The sequence below is a fragment of the Homo sapiens genome, chromosome 4, assembly GCF_000001405.40.
Source record: "Homo sapiens chromosome 4, GRCh38.p14 Primary Assembly".
Lineage (NCBI taxonomy): Eukaryota > Metazoa > Chordata > Mammalia > Primates > Hominidae > Homo > Homo sapiens.
Window position 1 is genome coordinate 91,693,458 of NC_000004.12, and position 24,952 is coordinate 91,718,409.

Genomic DNA, 24,952 nt, shown 5'->3' on the forward strand with positions numbered 1-24,952 from the left:
GGCATAGGGTGCAAGCTCTTGGTGGATCTACCATCTGGAGTCTGGAGAACCATGCCCCTCTTCTCACAGCTCTACTAGGCAGTGGCCCAGTGGGGCCACTGTGTGGGGGATCCAACCCCCATATCCTTTCCACACCGTTCTAGCAGTCGTTCTCCATGAGGGCTCCACCCCTGCAGCAAATGTCTGCCTAGGCATCCAAGTGTTTCCATACATCCTCAGAAATCTAGGCAGAGGTTCCCAACCTCAATTCTTGATTTCTGTGCACCTGCAGGCCTAACGCCATGTGTAAGCCACCAAGGCTTAGGGCTTGCACCCTCTGAAGCAATGACCTGAGCTGTACATTGGCCCCTTTTAGCCACAGCTGGGATGCAGGGCACCAAGTCCTGAGACTGCAAAAAGCAGCAAGGGCCTGGGCCTGGCCACAACACCAATTTTTTCATAGATCTCTGGACCTATGATACAAGGGGCTGCTGCGAAGACCTCTGACATGTCCTGGAGACATTTTCCCCATTGTCTGGGTGATTAACATTTGGCTTCTCCTTTCTTATGCAAATTTATGCAGCAGGCTTGAATTTCTTCTCAGAAAATGGGTAATATGGTTTGGCTGCGTCCTCACCTAAACTCTCATCTCGAACTGTAATCGGAATTGTAATCCCACATGTGGGGGGAAGGACCTCATGGGAGGTGATTAGATAATGGGGGTGGCTCCCCCATACTGTTCTCATGATAGTGAATGAGTTCTCACAAGATCTGATTGTTTTTATAAGGGACTGTGCCCCTTTCACTCTGCATTTCTCTCTCCTCTCACCACGTGAAGAAGGACATATTTACTTCCCCTTCTGCCATCATTGTAAATTTCCTGCTGCCTCCCCAGCCATGCAGAACAGTGAGTCAATTAAACCTATTTTCTTTATAAATTACCCAGTGTCACATATGTCTTTATAGTCAGGTGAGAATGAACTAAAATAGTAAATTCGTGCCACAGCAGGTGGAATGCTGCCATAGGATACCCCAAAATGTGAAAACAATTTTGGAATTGGTAACAGGCAGAGGCTGGAACAGTTTGGAGGGCTCAGAAGAAGACAGGAGGATGTGGGAAAGTATGGAACTTCCTAGAGACTTGAATGGCTTTAACCAAAATGCTGATAGTGATTTGGACAATGAAGTCCAGGATGAAGTGGTCTTAGATGGAGATGAGGAACTTGTTGGGAACTGGAGTAAAGGTGACTCTTGCTATGCTTTAGCAAAGGGATTGGTGACTTTTGCCCATGCCCTAAAAATCTGTGAAAGTTTGAACTTCAGAGAGATGATTTAGGGTATCTGGCAGATTTGGGAGGATTGTTGGAAAGGAATGATTGTGTTTTGAAATATGAGGACATGAGATTTGGGTGGGGCCATGGGCAGAATGATATGGTTTGACTGTGTCCCCACCCAAAATCTCATCTTGAATCGTAATCAGAATTGTAATCCCCACATGTGTGGGAGCTCATTAAATGATGGGGGCAGTCTCCCAAGCTCTTCACATGATAGTGAGCTCTCAAAATATCTCATGGTTTTTTCAGGGGATTTTCCCTCTTTGCTCTGCTTTTCTCTCTCCTGATGCCATGTGAAAAAGGATGTGTTTGCTTTCCCTTTGCCATGATTGTAGGTTTCCTGATATCTCCTCAGCTGTGAAGAACTGTGAGTGAATTGAACTACTTTTTAAAAATAAATTATGCAATCTCAGGTATGTCTTTATAGCATCATGAGGACAGATTAACACAATGGGTTTTTCTTTTCTATTGCACCAGCAGGTTGCAAGTTTTTCAAACTTTTATGCTCTACTTCTCTTTTAAACATAAATTCCAACTCCAGACCATCTCTTTGTGAATGCAGAAAACTGAATGTTTTAAAGAGCACCCAAGTCATATCATGAACATTTTGTTGCCTAGAAATTTCTTCTGCCAAATACCCCAAATCATCTCTTTCAAGTTCAAAGTTCCACAGATCTAGGGCAAGGGCAAAATGCCACCAGCCTCTTTGCTAAAGCATAGCAAAAATCACCTTTATTCCAGTTCCCAACAAGTTCCTTATCTCCATCTGAGACCACCTCTGCCTAGACTTCATTGTCCTTATTACTATCAGCATTTTGGCTAAAACCATTTAACAAGTCTTTAAAAAGTTCTAAACTTTCTCACATCTTTCTTTCTTCTTCTGAGCCTTCGAAACTGCTCCAACCTCTGCCTGTTACCCAGTTCCAAAGTCATTTCCACATTTTCATGTATCTTTATAGAAGTACCCCCACTCTACCAGTATCAATTTACTGTATTAGTTCGTTCTCACACTGACATAAAGAACTGCCTGAGACTGGGTAATTTATAAAATAAAAAGGTTTAATAGACTTACAGTTCTGCATGGCTGGGGAGGCCTCAGGAAACCTACAATTATGGCAGAAGGCAAAGAGGAAGCAGGGCACCTTCGTTACATGGCAGTAGGAAGGAGAATAAATGCAGGAGGCACTACCACACACTTATAAAACACATCAGATCTTGTGAGAATTCACTCACTATCACAAGAGCTGCATGGGGGAAACCACTCCCATGATTCAAATACCTCCACTTGATCTCTCCCTTGACACATGAGAATTATAGGGATTACAATTCAAGATGATATTTTGCACTGGGACACAGCCAAACCATATCAGCAAGTATAGAAAGTGTCGAGACCAGCTCAGTCGTTAAGACTGTAACACAGCGGTGCTAGAGGAATTAAAGACACACACACACACACAGAAATATAGAGCATGGAGTGGGAAATCAGGGGGCTGACAGCCTTCAGAGCTGAGAACCATGAACAGAGTTTTACCCACATATTTATTGACAGCAAGCCAGTGATAAGCATTGTTTCTATAGATTATAGATTAACTAAAAGTATTCCTTATTGGAAATAAAGGTATGGGTCTGTCTAGTTATCTGCAGCAGGAGCATGTCCTTAAGGCACAGATCACTCATGCTATTTTTGTGGTTTAAGAACACCTTTAAGCGGTTTTCCACCCTGGGTGGACCAGATGTTCCTTGCCCTCATTCAGGTAAACCAACAACCTTCCAGCATGGACGACATGGTCATCACGAACATGTCACATTGCTGCAGAGATTTTAAACAAAATTTATGGCCAGTCTTGTGGCTAGTTTATGGCCGGATTTGGGGGCCTATTCCCAACATGTCCACCTTCTTTGATTTGCAAAGCGATAAAAGCAAAGGCAGCTTTGTCATGGCGAGCTACTCCTTGCAGGAGTCAGGATCAGCATCTGCAGACTATACAAACACAAACAACACAGATTAAAAGCACAATCAACATTGAAATCACAGAGCTTCCAAGTGTTTTTATCCATTTTAATGGGTTATTAGCTGCTAATCTGTCTGCAGCTCCTTCAAACACTCCAGTTCCTGGCATTAAGTTCAGGTGTGCCTGGGATGCTTTAAATTTTTTTCTTTTTATTTTGTAATATCCAAAGAGAAGTTTGTAGAGTGTCCTTCTAGATGATTTTTTATTCTTTCCCAAATTTGTATCTTATTAATAGTTATTAATAGTTTCCACAAATCCTTATGTTTAGCTCCTACAATGGGCCATATCATTTGAGGTTGAGGTGCCACTATACCACCATGGTTCCAGATAATAGGAACTCTTGACATACTTCTTACCATTTCTACCATCTGACTGTTTTGTTCAGACCAGCTGAACATAGTGTGGCTGTGGCACACAGACTGAGGGGTGCAATTTAAGCTAAACATCCCCTTAGGGGACCAATCAATAATGATTCCATAGGAATCATTGCACAGCACCTCCACCTGTTCTGCAATGAAATCTTCCCAAACAACTGTTCATTTTTTCTGACTGGGTCCAATCCTGTTTACAAATAGGTTTGTGAGGGCGGTATGCCTTAATTATAGGAGCAGATTTATTATGGTAAATACTGAGATCAGAAAGCATGTGTAACTGTGTCATAGAGTGATTACATCCAGGCATTATTGCCAGCCAAGATTGATAAATATGCCCAATAAGTATAACTGTTCTCTGTGTCAGCCCTTGTTGAAGGAATACTCATGGGAATGGTGATCACCACTATCATAGCTATCATTAAATTACTCATTGTGACTAATTGTCCCACTTTCCTTAGGTTTTCTTCCACCATCTGTGACAGCTTCTTGATCTGTCCCCAGGTAGGTGGCTGTGTCGACGGGTGTTACTCGTGACAGTTGGGGTCCTCCTCAGCATCAGTCTTGACATGGCTGCAAGCGGGGTGGTCCTTAGGATCCTTCCAGAATCTCTTCCTTGACATCTGGCTCATGATAAGGTTTCAAGTGTCTTGATGGTATCCAAATCGGCTGTTGATTCAGTCCTGGAGAAACACAGGAATAACCAATTAAAAAATTGACAGTTTCATTTTAGGAAAATGATTATCGAGAATACTCACAGTCAGCTAAATGGATTTGCCAAGTAAGACTATTTATAAAAGCCTTCTGTATTTTTGCCTTTGTGAGAGGGACAATAATTTTTCCAGGATCATATCTGTGTAATTTAACAATCCGAGTTCTCCCATTTCCTACCATAGTAGCGATTTGATCCAAATAAGGAATTAGAGTCTGTGAATTAGTATGTGGAAGAAAAAGCCATTCTACTAAGTCCTGCTCTTGGATAATAACATCAGTAGGTGAATCCTGAGTTGGAAAAATTAGCAAATCTAGAGTCTTCTCTGGATCTATTCTATTTATTTGGGCTTTATGGACTTACTTTTTGATTAGCTGTAACTCTGCCTCAGCCTCCTTTGTTAATTGCCAAGGGATAGTGAGAATAGGATCTCCTCTAAGGATAGAAAATAGATTACTCATGGCATAGGTAGGAATGCCTAGAGCAAGTCGTATCCAATTAATGCCCCCTAGTAATTTTTGAAAGTCATTTAAAAATTTTCAATTGATCCCTACTTATGGCTACTTTCTGTGGCACAATGGTAGAGTCATTTACTAAGGTCCCCAAGTAGGAGTAGGGAGTAGTAGTTTGAATTTTGTCAGGAGCTATAATTAAACCAGCACAAGAAATCAAATTTTGCAAGTGATCATAACATTGGAGTAATATTTCTCAAGTGAGGGCAGCACAAAGTATATCATCCATATAATGAATAATGTAACACTGTGAAAAATTTTTAGGAGTAGGTTCAATTGCTTGCCCTACGTAAGTCTGGCAAATTGTTGTACTGTTTAACATGCCTTGTGGCAACACTTTCCAGTGAAAATGCTTAGCAGGCTGCAGGTTGTTTACTGCAGGAATTATAAACGCAAACCATTCACAGTCTTGTCCGCTAAGGGGATAGTAAAGAAAGAGTCTTTTAAATCTATGACGACTAAAGGCCAATTTTTTGGAATTATAGCAGGAGAAGGCAATCCTGGCTGTAATGCCCCCATAGGTTGTATAACTGAATTAATGGCTCTTAAGTCAGTTAACATTCTCCATTTACCTGATTTTTTCTTAATTACAAAAACTGGAGAATTCCAAGGGGAAAATGTTGGAGCTATGTGCCCATTTTCTAATTGTTCAGTAATTCCTCTGAAGCCTCCAGTTTCTCTTTATTTAGTGGCCATCGTTCCATCCAAATTGGCTTATCTGTTAACCATTTTAAAGGTATAGGTTCTGGAGGTTTTACAATGGCCACCATCAAAAATGATAGCCTAAACCTTGGCAGGAACTTTGTCTTTCTGCTTTAAGTGGTTCTTTCAAACCTTGCAAATTTTTGCCTAGTCCCACACCAGGGACATACCCCATTTCATGCATCACATGTTGACTCTGAGGGCAATATAATTGTTCTGGAATTAGAACTTGTGCTCCCCATTGTTGTAATAAATCTCTTCCCCATAAATTTATAGGTACAGAAGTTATAATTGGTTGAATAGTCCCAGGTTGTCCATCAGGCCCTTCACAAAGCAAAATATAACTGCTTTGATAGACTTCAGGGGGTTTACCAACTCCAACTACATTAAATTGAGTGGGTTGAACTGGCCACTCAGACAGCCAATACTGCAGAGAAATAATTGAAATGTCCACTCCTGTATCTACCAAACCTTTAAATTTCTTTCCCTGAATAGTTATTTCAGACGTAGGTTGTTTATCAGTAATTGATTCACCCAATAAGCTGCTTTGCCTTATTTGTGCTTCCAAATCCTCCTGTTCATTTAATTTCACTTTTTTCCATTTCCACATACGGCACAATCAGGAGCTGTGCTATGTGCTCTCCTGGCTCTGCTTTCCAGGGAACAGAAGTAGATACAACAATTTGAATTTCCCCTTTGTAATCTGAATCAATGATTCCTGTTTGTACTTGTACCCCTTTTAAGTTTAAACTAGACCTTCCTAGAAGTAATCCTATCATCCCTGCTGGCAAGGGTCCATAGACCCCTGTTGGGACCTTTTGCGTGGGTTCCCCAGACAGAAGACTCACAGCTTTTGTGCAGCATAAATCTACTGCAGCACTACCAGCTGTGGTGGGGGACAGACATTGTACAGGGGTGAGGGAATGGCCTGAGCTGGAAATGCCCTGGTTTCTAATGGGGCCTGAGACGGGCCCCTCATGGCATTTCCCGAAATCAGGGTCCCAACTTTATCAATTAGAGTGACATTGATTACCCAATGTTTTCCTTTTTTACATTTTGGACATACTTCAGGCTCAGCAGTTTTCTTTTTTTCCCTATCTGCCTGCCTGACTTGCTGATTTTTTCTACATTCTTTTTTAATATGACCATGCTTCCAGCAGTTAAAATAAGCTCCAGGAAATGGAGTATTTCCTTTATCCACTCTCAGTCCTGCCTTTGCCTGTGCCAACAAAGTAGCTTTATGCTGATTACCTCCAATACCATCACAGACCTTGATATAATCAACTAAATGTGCCTTCCCTCTAATAGGTCCCAGAGCAGCCTGGCAATTGGGATTAGCATTGTTGAAAACTAATAACTGCAACACTATATCCTGAGCAGCCGAATCTGCAATTACCTTTTTAAGAGACTCCTGTAACTGAGCTATAAAATCCATGTATGGTTCTTTTGGTCCCTGTTTCATAGCACTAAAGGAAGGGTATTGTTCTCCACCTGAAGTGATTTTTTCCCAAGCTTGAATGTACACTCCTCTAAGCTGCTCTATGGCATCATCCTGCATGACCACTCGTGCATCTAAACCAGCCCAGCCACTGAACCCCAAAAGTTGGTCTGCAGTTATATTAATTTAAGGTTGGGTCTGGGCAATGTGAGAAGGCTGAATGGAAGCTTCATCTGCCACCAAGTTTTAAATTGTAAGAACTGAGCAGGAGTTAAACAAGCTCGAGTAAGAGCATCCCAGTCAGTAGGAATAATCCAACTGGAAATAACAACATTCTTTAACAGTCCCATTACAAAAGGAGAACCTGGTCCATATTCATTAATAGCTTTTTAAAATTCTTTAAGTAATTGAAAGGGAAAAGACTCAAATGTGGCTATATTTCCCTGTTGATCTGGGGGGTGTATTCTAACAGATAACTGCCAAGCCTCTAAATCACCCTCTCATCTAGCTTGCTGAATTCCTGCCTGAATAGAACTGAGAGCAGTTGCTCAAGGTGCTGCTTGAACAGTCACTGGGGCAACTACTTTTTTCCCAGTGTCCTCCAGAAAAGAAAGATCTGGAGGGTCAGGCCACTCTTTTTCTTCAAAATAATGAGGGGGTGCAGAAGCATAGAGATGAATCTCTTCCTCTTTTGCTGCTTTAGCTTTAGCTGGCAAACAAACCTGCTCTGTCATGTCTTCTGTTACTTTGTTATACTCTCCTTCCTCATCATAATCAGTGTGAAAAGGTTCTGAGGTGGAACAAACCAGAGCCCACACTTGTCCCATTGTTACCCTGATGCTTCTGAGCTCCCCTTCTTATTTACCATGGGGATTGCTTTAAAGAGTACTCAGATGTCCTACAGCTTAGTTCCACATTCTCCAACCGTCGCTCCAGTGACCCTTCGACCTGGGTTCGAGCCCCAACATATGGACACCACTTGCTGAGACCAACTTGGTCATGGAGACCCTAACCCAGGAGCGCTAGAGGAATTAAACACACACACACAGAAATATAGAGGGTGGAGTGGGAAATTAGGGGGCTGACAGCCTTCAGAGCTGACAGCTGTGAACAGAGTTTTACCCACATATTTATTGACAGCAAGCCAGTGATAGGCATTGTTTCTATAGATTGTAGATTAAAAGCATTCCTTACAAGAAACAAAGGGATGGGCCAAAGTAAAGGGATGGGTCTGTCTAGTTATCTGCAGCAGGAGCATGTCCTTAAGGCACAGATCACTCATGCTATTGTTTGTGGTTTAAGAACACCTTTAAGCAGTTTTCTGCCCTGGGTGGGCCAGGTGTTCCTTGCCCTAATTCTGGTAAACCCACAATCTTCCAGGGTGGACATCATGGTCGTCACTAACATGTCACAGTGCTGCAGAGATTTTTTTTATGGCCAGTGTTGGGGCCAGTTTATGGCCAGATTTGGGGGCCTATTCCCAACAGCAAAGCATTTTGGAGATTTCTCAAAGAACTGTGAGTTGAACCTACCATTTGACTGTGCAATGCCATTACTGGGTATATACCCAAAGGAAAATAATTTGTTCTACTAAAAAGAGTCATGTACTCATACGCTCATTGCTGCACTATTCACAATAGCAAAGACATGGAATGAACCCAGGTGCTCATCAGTGGTGGATTAGATAAGGAAAATGTGGTATATGTACACCATGGAGTACTATGCAGCCTTAAAGAAGAATGAAACCATGTCTTTTGCAGCTGGTAACCATTATCCTAAGTGAACTAACATAGAAACAGAAAAACAAATATTGCATGTTTTCACTTACGAGTGAGTACACATGGCATAAAAATGGGAACAATAGGCACTGGGGAATACAAGAGGTGGGAGAAAGGGAAGAGGATAAGTGGCAAAACATACCACTTATTGGATACTATGCTAACAACCTGGGTGACAGATTCATTCATACTTCAAACCTCAGCATCATGCAATATACCTATGTAAGAAACCTGCACATGTGCCCACTAATTCTAAAAGAAAATTTAAAAAATAGGTATGTAAATATGACATAAAAGTTATCAATTTAGATACATCCAATTTGTTTATTTTTTTCTTTTGCTATTTGTGCTTTTGGTGTCATATCTATGTAGGCTAATCAAGATCACAAGGATTTATTCCTATATTTTTCTTCTAAGCATTTCATACTTATAGCTGTTACATTTATGTATATGATCTCTTTTGAGTTAGCTTTTATTTATAGTGTGAGGTTGAAGATTCAACTTCTTTCTTTTGCATGTGAGTGTCCACTGCTTTGGGCACTACTTGTTGAAGATAATACTCTTTCCCCCATTGAATGGTCTTAGCACTCTTGTCAAAAATCCGTTGACCATCAATGTATAGGTATTTTTCTGGATGCTCAATTATATTCTCAATCCATATATCTGTCTTTATGCCACTACCACACTCTGTCGATTACTAGAGCTTTGTATAAACTTCCAAAATTTTGAAGCATGACTCTTCCAACTTTGTTCTTCCTTTTGCAAGATTGTTTTAGCTATTTTGACTTTTAATATAAAGTTTAACATAAGCTTGCCAATTTCAGAATAAACACCAGCTGAGCTTATGATAGAGATTGCATTTAATCTATATATCAATTTTGGAAATATTTCCATATTAACAACATTACATTTTCCTATTTATGAATATGGCAATTTAAAAATTTTGTCATCTTTTTAAATTTCCTTCAAAAATATTTATTTCACAGTATAAGTTTTGTACCTTCTACATTAAGTTAAATTGAAGAGTTTTCTAAATTTCATTATAGAAATAATTTAGTTAAGATAAATAGAATTGTTTTCTAAATGTCCTTTAATTGTTCATCATTAGTCTAGAGAAATACAATTTTGTGTATTGATCTTATACACTGCAACATTGGTGAATTTACTTATTCTAGTAGTTTATTTTTCTGGATTCCTAAGAAACTCCATACATAACCTCATATGATCTGTAAATAGATATAATTCTAATTCTACCTTTCTAATTTATATTATTTCATTTTATTTTCTTGCCTAATTGGCCTGGTTAGGATCTCTTATACAATGATGAGTAAAAGTGGCAAGATTGGGGGTTCTTATTCCTCATCTTAAAGTGAAAGCACTCAGTATTAATTAAATATGACATCAGCTGTAGGTTCCTTAGAGATGCCCTTTATCAAGTTGAGACAGTTTCTGTTTATTTTTTAATTTGTTTTTATCATAAAAGGATGTCAGATTTTGTTAAATGTTTTTCTATGTTTATTTAGAGGGTTAAGAGGCTTTTCTCCTTTGTCTATAGATACAAGGCATTCCATGCATTTATTCTGATTGCTAACCCAACCTTTTATTTCTAAAATATATCCTACTTGGTCATGGGACAGTATTTTTTTTGTATGTTGCCCAATCTGGTGTGTTAGTATTTTGTTAATTTGTGCATATATATTCCTAAGAGTCATGGATCAGTAGTTATATTTTCTTGTAACTTGTAAGTTGTATTTTCTTTTTCCCTGGTTTTGGATCAAGGTAATACTATTCTCACAGAACTAGTTAGGTAGTTGTTTCCTTTTCTTCTATTTTTGGAAGACTTTGTACAAAAAATTGTATTAATTTATTCTTTAAATATTTGGTAGTATATACCAGTAAATCATTTTATATCTAAGCATCAGTTTATGGGAAGATTTTTTTAAATTAGTAATTCATCTTTTAATTATTATTCGTTTATTGAGATTTTTATCTTTATTTTTTGAGTGAGTTTTGGGTTTTAGTTTCTTTCTAGGAGTTTGTCTTTCAAAATTTTTATTATGATGTGTTTGTGTATGAATATGTTTTCGTTTATAATTCTCTGAGCTTGTTGAACTCTTTGGATGTGTAAATTAATGTTTTTCATCAAACTTGTGGAGTTTTCAGGTATTATTAAAAAAAAAAGTCTTTGCTGTTTTCTCCCCTCTCCTTCTATTACTCCCATTATGTGTATTTTGTTTTGCTTAATGTGTCCCACGGTTCTTTGAGTATCTGTTCATTTTTCTTTATTCTTTTTTCCACTCTTCTTTGGGTTGCACAACCTCTATTGATCTATTTTCACATTTGCCGATGTTTTTCTTCTGCCACCTTAAATCTACTCTTAGGCTATTCTGGTATATTTTTCACTGAGTTATTTTACTTTCAACTCAAGTTTTCATTTGATTGTTTTATAACTTTATATCTATTTATATTATCTATTTGATGCTTGATTATCATAAAACATTCTCTTTGATTCTTTAGCATGGGATTCTTTAGTTCTTCAAAAATATTTATAATAGCTGTTTTGAGGTACTATATTTGTTTGTTTAACCTGATATCTAAGTCTTCTTGCATGCAGCTTTTGTTGTTTGCTCCCTACTCTACCTGTAAGGGTCACACTTTCCTTTATATTTAGTAATTTTATATTGAAAACTAGGCATTTTAAATAATATATTGTAGAAACATACCTCATGCCTTTCAGGGACTTGTTGTTTTTAATTTATCTATTTATTGATTTTGCTGAACAATTTTGTGGAAATCTATTTCATCAACAATGTGAAGCCTGCCCATATCAGGAAGATATTATAGATATTATAGTTCTTGACTGGGTGCTGGGGCACAGGGAGCCTTTTTTTTTTGGCAATATCCAAAGTGGACCAACCATCATGCTGAACTGGTTGGGGTACACAAGGAAGGAGAGGGTTGCGGCTCAATTACCAGAGATGCTTAATGATCTCATTGAGATTTAGTAGAATTTCCTGAATAAATGTTACTTCATCTCTTGTAGACCCTTAGGACAATTTCCAGGTACATGAAATGGTTGTGTATGTTTTTTTTTTTTAAACAATTTTCACCAGTTTTTCCCAGCAACATTTATTCAATAGGGAATCATTTCCCCATTGCTTGTTTTTGTCAGTTTTGTCAAAGATCAGATGGTTGAAGATATGTGGCATTATTTCTGAGGGCTCCGTTCTGTTCCATTGGTCTGTATCTCTGTTTTGGTACCAGTGCCATGCTGTTTTGGTTACTGTAGCCTTGTAGTATAATTTGAAGTCAGGTAGTGTGATGCCTCCAGCTTTGTTCTTTTGGCTTAGGATTGACTTGGCAATGTGAGCTCTTTTTTGGTTTCATATGAACTTTAAAGTAGTTTTTTCCAGTTCTGTGAAGAAAGTCATTGGTAGCTTGATGGGGATGGCATTGAATCTATAAATTACCTTGGGCAGTATGGCCATTTTCACGATATTAATTCTTCCTACCCTTGAGAATGGAATGTTGTTCCATTTGTTTGTATGCTCTTTTATTTCATTGAGCAGTGGTTTGTAGTTCTCCTTGAAGAGGTCCTTCACATCCCTTGTAAGTTGGATTCCTAGGTATTTTATTCTCTTTGAAGCAATTGTGAATGGGAGTTCACTCATGATTTGGCTCTCTGTTTGTCTGTTATTGGTGTATAAGAATGCTTGTGATTTTTTTACATTGATTTTGTATCCTGAGACTTTGCTGAAGTTGCCTATCAGTTTAAGGAGATTTTGGGCTGAGACGATGGGGTTTTCTAGAGATAAAATCATGTCATCTGCAAACAGGGACAATTTGACTTCCTCTTTTCCTAATTGAATACCCTCTATTTCCTTCTCCTGCCTGATTGCCCTGGCCAGAACTTCCAACACTATGCTGAATAGGACTGGTGAGAGAGGGCATCCCTGTCTCGTGCCAGTTTTCAAAGGGAATGCTTCCAGTTTTTGCCCATTCAGTATGATATTGTCTGTGGGTTTGTCATAGATAGCTCTTATTATTTTGAGATACGTCCCATGAATACCTAATTTATTGAGAGTTTTTAGCATGAAGCGTTGTTGAATTTTGACAAAGGCCTTTTCTGCATCTATTGAGGTAATCATATGGTTTTTGTCGTTGGTTCTGTTTACATGCTGGATTACATTTATTGATTTGCATATGTTGAACCAGCCTTCCTCAAACAAATTTACAAGAAAAAAACAAACAACCCCATCAACAAGTGGGTGAAGGCTATGAACAGACAATTCTCAAAAGAAGACATTTATGCAGCCAAAAGACACATGAAAAAATGCTCATCATCACTGGCCATTAGAGAAATGCAAATCAAAACCACAATGAGATACCATCTCACACCAGTTAGAATGGCAATGATTAAATAGTCAGGAAACAACAGGTGCTGGAGAGGATGTGGAGAAATAGGAACACTTTTACACTGTTGGTGGGACTGTAAACTAGTTCAACCATTGTGGAAGTCAGTGTGGTGATTCCTCAGGGATCTAGAACTAGAAATACCATTTGACCCAGCCATGCCATTACTGGGTATATACCCAAGGGATTATAATTCATGCTGCTATAAAGACACATGCACACGTATGTTTATTGTGGCACTATTCACAATAGCAAAGACTTGGAACCAACCCAAATGTCCATCAATGGTAGAATGGATTAAGAAAATGTGGCACATATACACCATGGAATACTATGCAGCCATAAACAATGATGAGTTCATGTCCTTTGTAGGGACATGGATGAAGCTGGAGACCATCATTCTCAGCAAACTATCGCAAGGACAAAAAACCAAACACTGCATGTTCTCACTCACAGGTGGGAATTGAACAATGAGAACACATGGACACAGGAAGGGGAACATCACACACTGGGGCCTGTTGTGGGGTGGGGGGAGGAGGGAGGGATAGAATTAGGAAATATACCTAATGTTAAATGACGAGTTAATGGGTGCAGCACACCAACATGGCACATGTGTACATATGTAACTAACCTGCACGTTGTGCACATGTACCCTAAAACTTAAAGTATAATAAAAAAATTCAAAAATACAAAAATAAAGTATGAGAACAAAATAAAGACATTTTACCAATGCAAAAAAATAAAAAAAAATTAAAAAATTAAAAAACATAAAAAAATTGGATTTTAATCATCCTGAAATATTTTGTAATTATCTTGTTAAACTCTTTCACTGTGTTTTCCTAGTTCCACTGTGATATTCCTAGTTTTACATTTTCCTAAGTCACTATTTCTCATACAGGGATAATTTTGTCCCTCTAGAGACATTGTCAATAACTGAAGGCATTGTTGATTGTCATGAGTCGGGTAGTTATAAACCTAAAGAGACATTTCTCAAAAGAAAAAATACAAACGGCAAATAGGTAAATGACAAAGTGCTTTACATTTCTATTCATCAAGGAAATGTATATTTAAACCATAATGAAAGATTACCTCACATCTGTTAGAATGGCTGTTTTCCGAAAGACAAAAGACAACAGTGTTGGTGAGAATGTAGAGAAAGGGGAATCCTTGTACACTGTTGTTAGGAATCTAAGCTAATACAGCCATTATGGAAAACAGTATGGAGTTTCATCAGAAAACTAAAAATAGAATTACCATATGTCTTAATCCTTTTGAGCTGCAAGAACTGAATACCACAGACTAGCTAATTTATAATGAACAGAAACTTATTGGCTCACAGTTTTAGGGCCTGGCAAGTCCAATTTCAATGTGTCAGTAGGTCTGGTGTCTGATAAGAGCCTCGTCTCTGCTTCCAGTCTAGTGCCTTGGATACTGCATCCTCTGGAGAGGAGAAACACTCTTCTTTACATAGCAGAAGAGCAGAAAAGCTAAGAGGGAATGAGATAAGGAGAAAGAGAGAGAGAAGGAGACAGAGAGAGAGAGAGAGAACCCATTCCTAAAATCCCCTTTCTAAAAGATATTAAACCCACTCATGATGGAAGGGCTCTCATGGGTTAATTACCTCTCAAAAGTTTTACTTCTTAATGCAATTACAATGACAATTAAATTTCAACATGCATTTTGGAGGGGACAAGCTTTCAAACAATTTCTCAGTATATTTCAAAAGGAAGTAGATTCAGTATGTCAAAGAGATCTCTGTACTTCTATTTCCGTTGCAGTCTTTTTCACAATAGCTATGTTATGGAAGAAACTCAGTGTCCACCAGACAGAGGAGCCCCACCTGACATCCCTGCAAAGGCAATCGCCCAGTTAACTAGACCTACAATAAGCTCTGCCTGCCCAGAGTCATCACTAGCTGGCCCCTCCAGAGTCACAGCCTAAAGAAAGAGTGAAAGTCTATTTTTGCCAAAGAAAACCTGTATAGTCCAGAACAGGGAGCTGTGTCCTCAAATGCACAGACAACAATACAAGGACAGGAAGATTATGAAAAATTAGAAAATAATGACGCCTCCAAAAGGAACTGAAAATATTCTATCTATAGATTTTAAAAATGGTGATCTATGTGCTCACTAACAAATAATTCCGAATAATTCTCTTTAAAATGTTCAGTAAACTACAAGAATACATAAATAGATTCAATGAAATTGTTAAACAATACCCAAAGTGAAAAATTTGTCAAGAAAATAGAAGCAATAAAGGAGAAGCAAATATAAATCCTAGAGATAAAAAATACAATGATGGAACCAAAAAATTTAATAGAAATCTTCAATGGCAGACGTAACCAAGCAGAAGAAAGAATCAGTGAGCTGAAAGAATATTTAAAGTTAACCAGAGGAGTAAAAAGACAAAATGATTGCAAAGAATCAAGAAAGCCTACAGAAATTATGAGACACCATGAAGAGTCCAAACCTTCACATAATAAGAGGTATAGAGAAGAAGGAAGCAAAAAAGAGCACTAGAAAGTATATTTAAAGAAATAATGATTGAAAATTTTCTTAATTTGATGTTAGACACCAACATACAGGTATAGGAAGTGCAGAGCTCTCTAAATTTAACCCAAAGAGAAGTTTATAAAGACACATAGTAATCAAAGTACCAATATCAAAGACAAAAAAATTCTGAAAGCAGCAAGAGACAAATGCGCATTACATATAAATTAGTGCCAATATGACTATCAGATCTCTCAGCAGAAACCCTACTGGCCAGGAGAGAGTGGGATGATATAGTTAAAGAGCTGAATGAAAAAAAATTACTAACCAAGAATATTCTATCTAGCAAAGCCGTTTTTCAGAAATAAGAGACAAAGAAAAACTTTTCCAGACAAACAAAAGCTAAGGGAGCTTTTCACTGCCAGAGCTGTTTTACATGAATTGCTAAACGGAGTTATTTAAACTAAAACAGAAGTTTCTAATTAATAACATAAAGCATAAGAAATCACAGAATTCAATGGTATAAGTAAAACAGAGACATATTTAGAATACAGTAGGACTTTAATGACGGTAAAACAATTTTATTCCTAGAACAAGGGCTAATATAACAACTATTTAAAAAAAAACTACAGCTAATATTACCCAAGGATACATTTTATAAATGATGGAAATTCTGTCATCAAAAACACAAATGGAGGAGGGAATAAATGTTTAGGGTTGTATACATTCAAAGTTAGCTTGTTATTGGCTTTTAATAGACTGTTATAAGATGGTCTATGTAAGCTGCATGATAATGACAAAGCAAAACACTTAATAAAAGCACAAAATAAAAATAGAAATGATTCAAAGCATATCACTATAAAAACCCATCAGACCACAAAGGAAGACAGCAAGAATGAAAGGAATAAACAAAGTGTCTATAAAACGACCAGAAAACTGTGAACAAAATGGCAGTAAGTCCTTACCTATCAATAACTACCTTTAATGTAAATGCATTTAATTATTCAATAAAAAGACATAGAGTGACAATAGCTAAAAGAATTGGCTGGGTGCGGTGGCTCACTCCTGTAATCCCAGCACTGTGGGAGGCCAAGGAAGAGGGATCACCTGAGGTCAGGAGCTCAAGACCAGCCTGGCCAACATGACAAAACAGTGTCTCCACTAAAATTACAAAAATTATCCGGCCATGTTCTCACATGCCTGTAGTCCCAGCTACTCAGGAGGCTGAGGCACAAGAATTGCTTGAACCCGGGAGGCAGAGGTTACTGTGAGCCGATATTGCACCACTGCACTCCAGCCTGGGCGACAGAGTGAGACAACATCTCAAAAAAAGAAAAAAGAAAAGAATCAAGAGCTACTTATATATTGCCTATAAGAGATTCACTTCACTTTTAAGAACATACATACACTGAAAGTGAAAGAAAGAAAAAAATATATTCCATGCTAATAAAAACTAAAAGAGAGCATGGATAGTCATACTTATATCAATGTAGACTGTAAGTCAGAAACTGTAAAAAGAAACTTAGAAACTTATTACATAATGATAAAAAACAAATTTATCAAATAAATATTACAATTGTAAATATATCTTCCTACAACATTGGAGCATCTAAATATATAAAACAAATTTTAAAGGATTTTAAGAGAGACGTAGATTGCAATACAATAGTAGGGGACTTCAATATTACTCTTTCAACAATGGACATATTATCCACAGAGTAAATCAAGGAGAAAATATTAGATGTAAACCAAAATATTAAAAATAGACCTAACAAACATGTACAGAATATTCCATTTAACAACAACAAAGTACACATTCTTCTTAAGTGCACACACACAAAACATTTTCCAGGATAGACATGTTATGACACAAAACAAAATTTAGCAAATTTAAGAAGACTGAAATCACAACAAACATGTTTTGCAATAATAATGGTATAAAACTAGAAATAAAATACAGTAAAAATTATGGAAAAATCACAAATACATGAAAGTTAGACCACATGTGCACGAAAAACCAATGGGTCAATGAAGAAATTAGAAGGGAAATTTAGAAACATCTTCAGACAAACAAATATAAAAACAACATGTTTCCAAACTTGGTGGAGATAGTGGACACAAAAAATAGAGTTAAAAAAATGAATAAGACCTATTCTTTGACAGCACAACAGGGTGACTATAGTCAATAATAACTTAATTGTATTTTTTAAATAAAGAGTGTAATTGGATTGTTTGTAGCTCAAAAGGTAAATGCTTGAAGGCATGGATATCCCATTTTCTATGATGTGCTTATTTCACATTACATGCCTATATCAAAACATCTCATGTACCTCATAAATACATACACCTACTATGTGCCCACTATTTAAAATTAAAAAAAATAGAGAAAAAGCCAATATGTTCCAAAACTTATGAAGTGCAGCAAAGAGAAAATTTTATACCAATAAATGCCTACATTAAAAATGATTCACAAATAAACTACTTAATGTTAGTTCTCAAGGAAATAGAAAAAGAAGAAAAAACTAAGCCCAAAGTTACCAGGCAGACGTGAATAATAAAGATCAGAGCAGAAAAAAATGAAATCAAGACTAGAAAAATCATACCAAAGATCAACAAAAGTAAGAGTTAGTGTTTTTAAAAAATAAAATCAACAAACGTTTAACAAAATTAATAAGACAGAAGACACAAATAAGATCAGAAATGAAAGATAGGACATTACAACTAATATCATGGAAATACAAAAGATCACAAAATACTACTTGGACAATTACACCTCACAAATTAGATAACCTAAGGGAAATGAATACATTCCTAGACACATAAAACCTACCAAGATTAAATCATGAAGAAATAGAAAAGTTGAACAGACCAATAATGAATAAGAAGATTTGAATTATTAAAAAAGTTTCCCATCAAACAAAAGCCCAGTATCTGGTGGTTTCACTGCTGAATTCTACAGAACATTTCAGGAAAAACTAATACTAATCCTTCTCAAATTTTTCCAAAAATTGAAAAGTAGGGAATATTTTCTGATTCATTTTACCATGCCAGCATTGCCCTGATACCACAGCCAGACAAGCACATCACAAAAAAAGAAAACTACAGGCCAATAGCCTTGATGATGAACATAAATGGAAAAATTCTCAGCAAAATACCAGCAAACCTAATTAAACAACACATGAAAAAAATAATCCATCATGATAAGTGGGATTTATCTCTGGGATGCAGGGAAGGTTCAACATATGCAAATCAAAAATGTGATACATCAATTTAACACAATGAAGAAAAAGCATATGATCACCTCATCAGATGGAGAAAAAAACAGTTGGCAAAATTCGTTATCTTTTTATAATAAAAACTGTGACCAAATTAGATATAGAAGGAATGTACCTCAACACAATAAAGACCATATATGAGAAGCCCACAGCTAATATACTCAATGATGAAAAACTGGAAGCATTTCCTCTGAAACCCAAAACAAGACAAGGATGCCTATACTATTGCTACTTCTGTTCAACGTAGTATTGGACATACTTGAAAGAGCCACAGTAAATCCCAAACAGCCAAGGCAAACACAAGCAAAAGGAAAAAAGCTGAAAGTATCACACTATGTGATTTCAAACAATGTCATAAATCTAGAGTAATTAAAACCACATGATACTGGCAAAATTTGACATTCTAACCAATGAAATAGAAAAGAGAGTCCAAAAATGAACCCATGCATATATAGTCAATTGCATTTTAATAATGGTGCCAAAATACATAATGGAAAAAGGATAGTCTTTTTAATAAATGGTGTTGTGTATGTTGCATATCCACATGCAGAAGAAAGAAAATAAACCTTTATCTCACAACATATATAAACATAAGCTCAAAATGGACCAAAGACTTAAAGATAAGACCAGAGACATAAAACTGCTGTAAGAATACACAAAGATAAAATGACACGATATTGATTGATCTGAGCAATATATTTTTTGTGTTTGACCCAAAAGCATGGGCAACAAAAGCAAAATAGACAAATGGGATTATAGCAAACTAAAAAGCTTATGCACAGCAAAAGAAACAACAGCATGAAGAGAGAACTTATTGATTGGAAGAAAATATTTTTCAAGTTATTCATCCTATAAGGGGTTAATATCCAAAATATAGAAGGCACTCAGACAATTCAAGAGCAAGAAAACAAAAAAGAAAATTTAAAAATAGTCAAGGAACTTGAATAGACAGTCCTCAAAAAATGTACAAATGGACAAGACCTGTATAAAAAATGTTCAACACCAACTAGTCATTAAGGAAAGACAATTTTAAAACCACAGTGAAATATCATCTCACACCTGTCAGAATGGCTATTATTAACAAGACGAATGATAACCAGTGTTGGTGAGAATGTAGAGAAATGGGAACCCTTGTACACAGTTGGTAGAAATGTAAATTAGTACAATCATTATGAAAAACCATATGGAGATTCATCAAAAAACTAAACATTGAATTATCATATGACTTAACAATCCCACTTCTGGGTATTTACCCAAAAAACCTGAAATCAGTTTGCTGGAGAGATGTCTGCACACCCATGTTCATTGCAGCACTATTCACAATAGCAAAGTTCTGGAAGCAACTGAATTGTTCATTAACAGATGAATGAATAAAGAAAATGTTACATGTATGCACAATGGAGTACTATTCATCCATAAAAAATGGTATATTTTTAAATGCTCAACATCACTAATTTTTGGGGAAATGCAAATCAAAGCCACAATGAGGTATCATCTCACACCTGTTAGAATGGCTATTACCAAAAAAGACAAAAGATAACAAGTATTGGCAAGGATGCGGAGAAAACACTTTTGGTGGAAATGCAAACTGCCATAGACATATGGAAAACTGTATAGGTTTCTCACAAAACCAAAAATACTATGGTATGAGCCAGGAATCAATCTTCTGGATATTTACTCCAAATTTTTGAAATCAATTTGTCAAACTGATCTGAAATCATATGTTTGCACACCCATATTCATTGCAGCATTATTCACAATAGCCAAAATATCAGATCATTGAAAATGTCTGCCAAAAGATGAATGGATGAAGAAAATATAGTAATGTTGTGTAATGGAGTACTATTCAACTTTAGAAAAGAAGGGAATTTCATCATTTGCAACAACATGGATGGAATTGGAGAACATTATGCAAAGCAAAATCAGGCACAGAAAGACAAATTCCGCATGTTCTCACTCATATGAGGAATCTAAAAAACTCACAAAAGCAGAGACTAGAATGATGGTTACTTGTGTAAGGGAACTGGGCGGGGGGAGTGGGGAGATGATGATCAAAGCACAGAATCTCAATAAGATTGAATAAATGTATTCTTTATTTAAGACTTATTGTACAGCATGGTGAATATAGTTAATAACAGTGCATTGCACATTTCAAAATTGCTAAGAAAGTAAATTTCAAATGTTCCCACCACAAAAAGTAAATTTTTTGAGGTGATAAATATGTGAATTAGCTTGATTTAATTATTCCACATTGTATTCATAAATTGTAACATCACCTTGCACTTTATGAATGTATACAATTATAAATTGTCAACTTATAATCAAAAAGTTAACTTCTGATGGATTGCGTGTTCTGAAAATATTACTCACATATTTACAGTAGTTGATATATATATAGTGAGAGGCAGGAGTCTCAGATGGCTTCAGAGATTCCCACTTACTGGCGTACATACTCTGCTAAATCCTTTCCCTTAAATGTGAGCAGGATTTGTGAGTACAATAGTATATCACTCCTGCAATTATTTTGTTACATGGTAGGAGAGATTTTGAAGATGACTTTAAGATCCATGATTACTTGAAGATGATTTTAAGATCCATGATTACTTAAATTCATTAAAAAGGAAATTATCTCAGGTGAGGCTGACCTAATCAGCTGAGTCCTTAAAAGAGATCAGAAAGATTTGAAGCAAGATTTTCCTGCTGGCCTTGAAGAAGCATAGTCCATGTTGTGAGCTGCCTATAGAGGATTTATACTGCAAGGATCTTAACTTGGCTTCTAGAAACTGTGCATTTCCTGGTTGATGCCAGTGAGAAAACTAGGTCTCCAGTCTTATATCTAAAAATCACTGAACTTCATTAACAACCAATGATCTTGAAAGAGGATCCCAAGCCTCAGGTTACATTGCAGCCTAGTCAATATCTTGATTTTAGTCTGGTGAGACCCTGTGCAGAGCACCTAGCTAAGCCATACTCAGATTCCTGCTCCACAGAAAGTGTGAGGTAATAAATTTGTGTTGTTTTAAGCTGCTAAATTTATGTAATTTTTTTTTTATGAGGCAACATGTTCATTCATTCATTAGGGACAAAGAAAATAAAAAAAATAGTTGATCAGAGGTATCAATAAGTTTTTGGAAAATTAAAATAAGCCAATAAAAATTGGTAACTAAGGACAAAAGAAAATAAATCTAATGTACCAACAGAAGCAGGAAATGATAAGAAGACCTTATTCACCCTGCAGAGTAACAGAAAAAGAGGCAAAGGACATGGAAATGAAGGTACTGAAGGGGACTGATTGAAAGGACCTACTTTCCCTCTCATCCCTACAGAAGACCAGAGATTTATTTTCTGAAGAAATTTAATTGGAATCCTTATACTTAGGCTATTGGGAACTATAGATCTTGGGATGTGTTTTAGTACTGCATATTGGGGTTGCAGAACCATCTTCCCACTGCCACAGAGGTATACTTCAAAGACAGGTGAATGGTGGACTACATTGTTACAGAAATTGCTCAATCCCAAAAGGAAGGATATTGAAGTACTGACGTTTGGGGGTATTCCAAAGAAAAGGCCATTTTCCTGTTGCTCTATTAACATAAGTCATGTGTTAATAATTCCTACTCATGTCCTCAGAACTTTTGACAATCTCCTCTGTGCTTCAGTCTTCATTTTTCATGTGAGACCAAAAATAGAAAGATATTGAAGAAAGTTTAGGGGTAATAGGACTCCAAAAACAAACAGGAAACATGATAACAAAACTCAGTAGTGACAGCGGATATAGAAGATATAGTAATGCTTTCAAAATTATGAAAAAATAATGACTTTTTAAACTAAAATTTTATACCCATTATAAACTTAAATTAATGGTAAGGGCAAAATAACGTCATTTATCAACATTCAAGTTTTCAATCTATAGCTCTCATACACTGCTTTATGAGCTTCCTAGTGGGATAAGGTTGGAAAAAGAAAGAAGAAATATAGATAGCATTTACCCAAGAAAAAAATCAAATGCCCAGCATTTGAAACTCTATAAATTTAAAAATAAAATTCATAGTAGAAATATCATAAAGCTGTTGAAGATTAGAGAAAAATGATGATATACACATGGAAAATTAGAGATACAAAAAATAAAAAAATTGTAAGAGAAAGGAAATATAACCAATGTAAATTACCTGACTTAACAATTTTCACTATTTATGTAGTCAAAATAATGTGAATACCCATAGTATTGATTCACTCACAGTTGTGCTAAAATTACATTGAGCAATAGGGAATAAGGAGTTGAGAAGTATAATGGTGTTAATTCCTGAACTATTATAATAGAAAACAAATATGTATCTAAAACTGATAAATACAAATTTGACAATATCATCATATTTACTTATGCTTATAATGTTATCACATCAAACAGGTTTAAAAATCAAGGAACAAAAGATGTGGAAAGGAAGAGTGATAGAACAAAGAATTGCTTCTTCCTGTAATAAACTTTATAATCTACTTCATTTTCTTTAAATGTGTAATAGCATCATTTATAAACATGAAAATTATAAGAAAATGAGATTAAATACTGTTTATCATATTTAATACAATATTATCCCATGTTTGATGAAAAACTAAAGATATAACTTTTTCACACAGTTAATAAAAAGTAAAGTTGAGACACAAGTTTAAACTCATTGTTCTGCCTTTAAAGTCAGTCCTCAATTCCCTACACTATATTCCCAGTATAATAAGAGACAAGTAACAATAATACCCATTAAATGTTATGAAAGATTGTTAGTTTGAGACAAAAACATCTGTATTAGTTTTCTAGAGCTGGCACAATAAATAATCATAAATAACCTGTTTTAAAATAATAGAAAATGAATTTCTCATAGATCTGGAGGCCAGAAACAGGGTTGGTTCCTTTGAGATTCCCTGAGGCTCTGGTTCCATGCCTTTCTCTTAGCTTCTGATTTCTGCTGGCAATAGTTGGGATTTGTAGACACATCACTCCCATCTTTGCCTCAATCTTCACATCACCTCCCACTCTATGTGTCTTTCTGTCTTCTCTTCCATCTCATACAAAGATTTAGGATTGGCCTGAGTAATCTAGGATGATCTCACCTAAAGATCATTAATTCAGTTACCTCTCAAAGACATGTCTTACATAAGGTCACATTGACACATACCATGTGAACATATCTTTTGGGTAGCTACTATTCAACCCACTATAGTGTTTACATCTTATTTTTACATCCTTAGTATTGTTGATTTGTCTGTCTTGATGGACACTGCCATTGAGGTAATTGAGTTTCCTTATGTGTATTATTATACAGGATTTGCAGTTAGTATATTTTTCTCCAAGATACAGGATCCAGTATTATCTTTGAGAACAGCTAAAGTTAGAATCTGTATGATGTCATCTCAGAGTACAAAAAAAGCCATGTGATTTTATTGTCAAAAGAACAGTTCCTCCTTTGAATTACTAAAGAGCTGATTACAAAAAAAAATAAAAATTTGTAAATGTTATTTACAATTCTCTCTTGTTTTCTAATGAAGGTGGCTCCTAGGTATTCAGAGGGACTTTTTTTTTTTTTATGAAAGAGGCAATGTTTCTGAATAAGTGCATTTGGGGGAAATAAGACAGTAAAATTAGTTTGCTTTTAAAAAAAGGAGGCACAGCAAAGGCTCAGAGAAAATAAAGAGAAAGGAAGGGTGAAAAAGCAAGACTGCATGTACAAAGAGACAGGTGAAGAATGCCATGATTGTGGACAGTTAGATGCCTAGTGTGGAATTACAACAGAGAATTAAGGAAGTTTTATGTCATGGAGGAAGTAGTGTAAGTCTGCATACTTTGAAATCTCTGTTCAATCTATATTAGCTGCTGCTGCTTTATAAGATGCATTATTTTAAAGGGGGTGCCATGAAGTCCTGCTTCAAAGTTGGTTTGGAAGAAAA

General features: G+C 36.3%; 1 annotated feature.

Annotated features, from left to right (window-relative positions):
* Positions 241–783: an enhancer, noted in NCBI's record as "NANOG-H3K27ac hESC enhancer chr4:92614849-92615391 (GRCh37/hg19 assembly coordinates)". NCBI's record gives its function as "activates a minimal SCP1, AML or CMV promoter by ChIP-STARR-seq in naive and primed H9 embryonic stem cells {active_cell/tissue: H9 hESC(naive and primed)}" and the evidence as "EXISTENCE:reporter gene assay evidence [ECO:0000049][PMID:30033119]".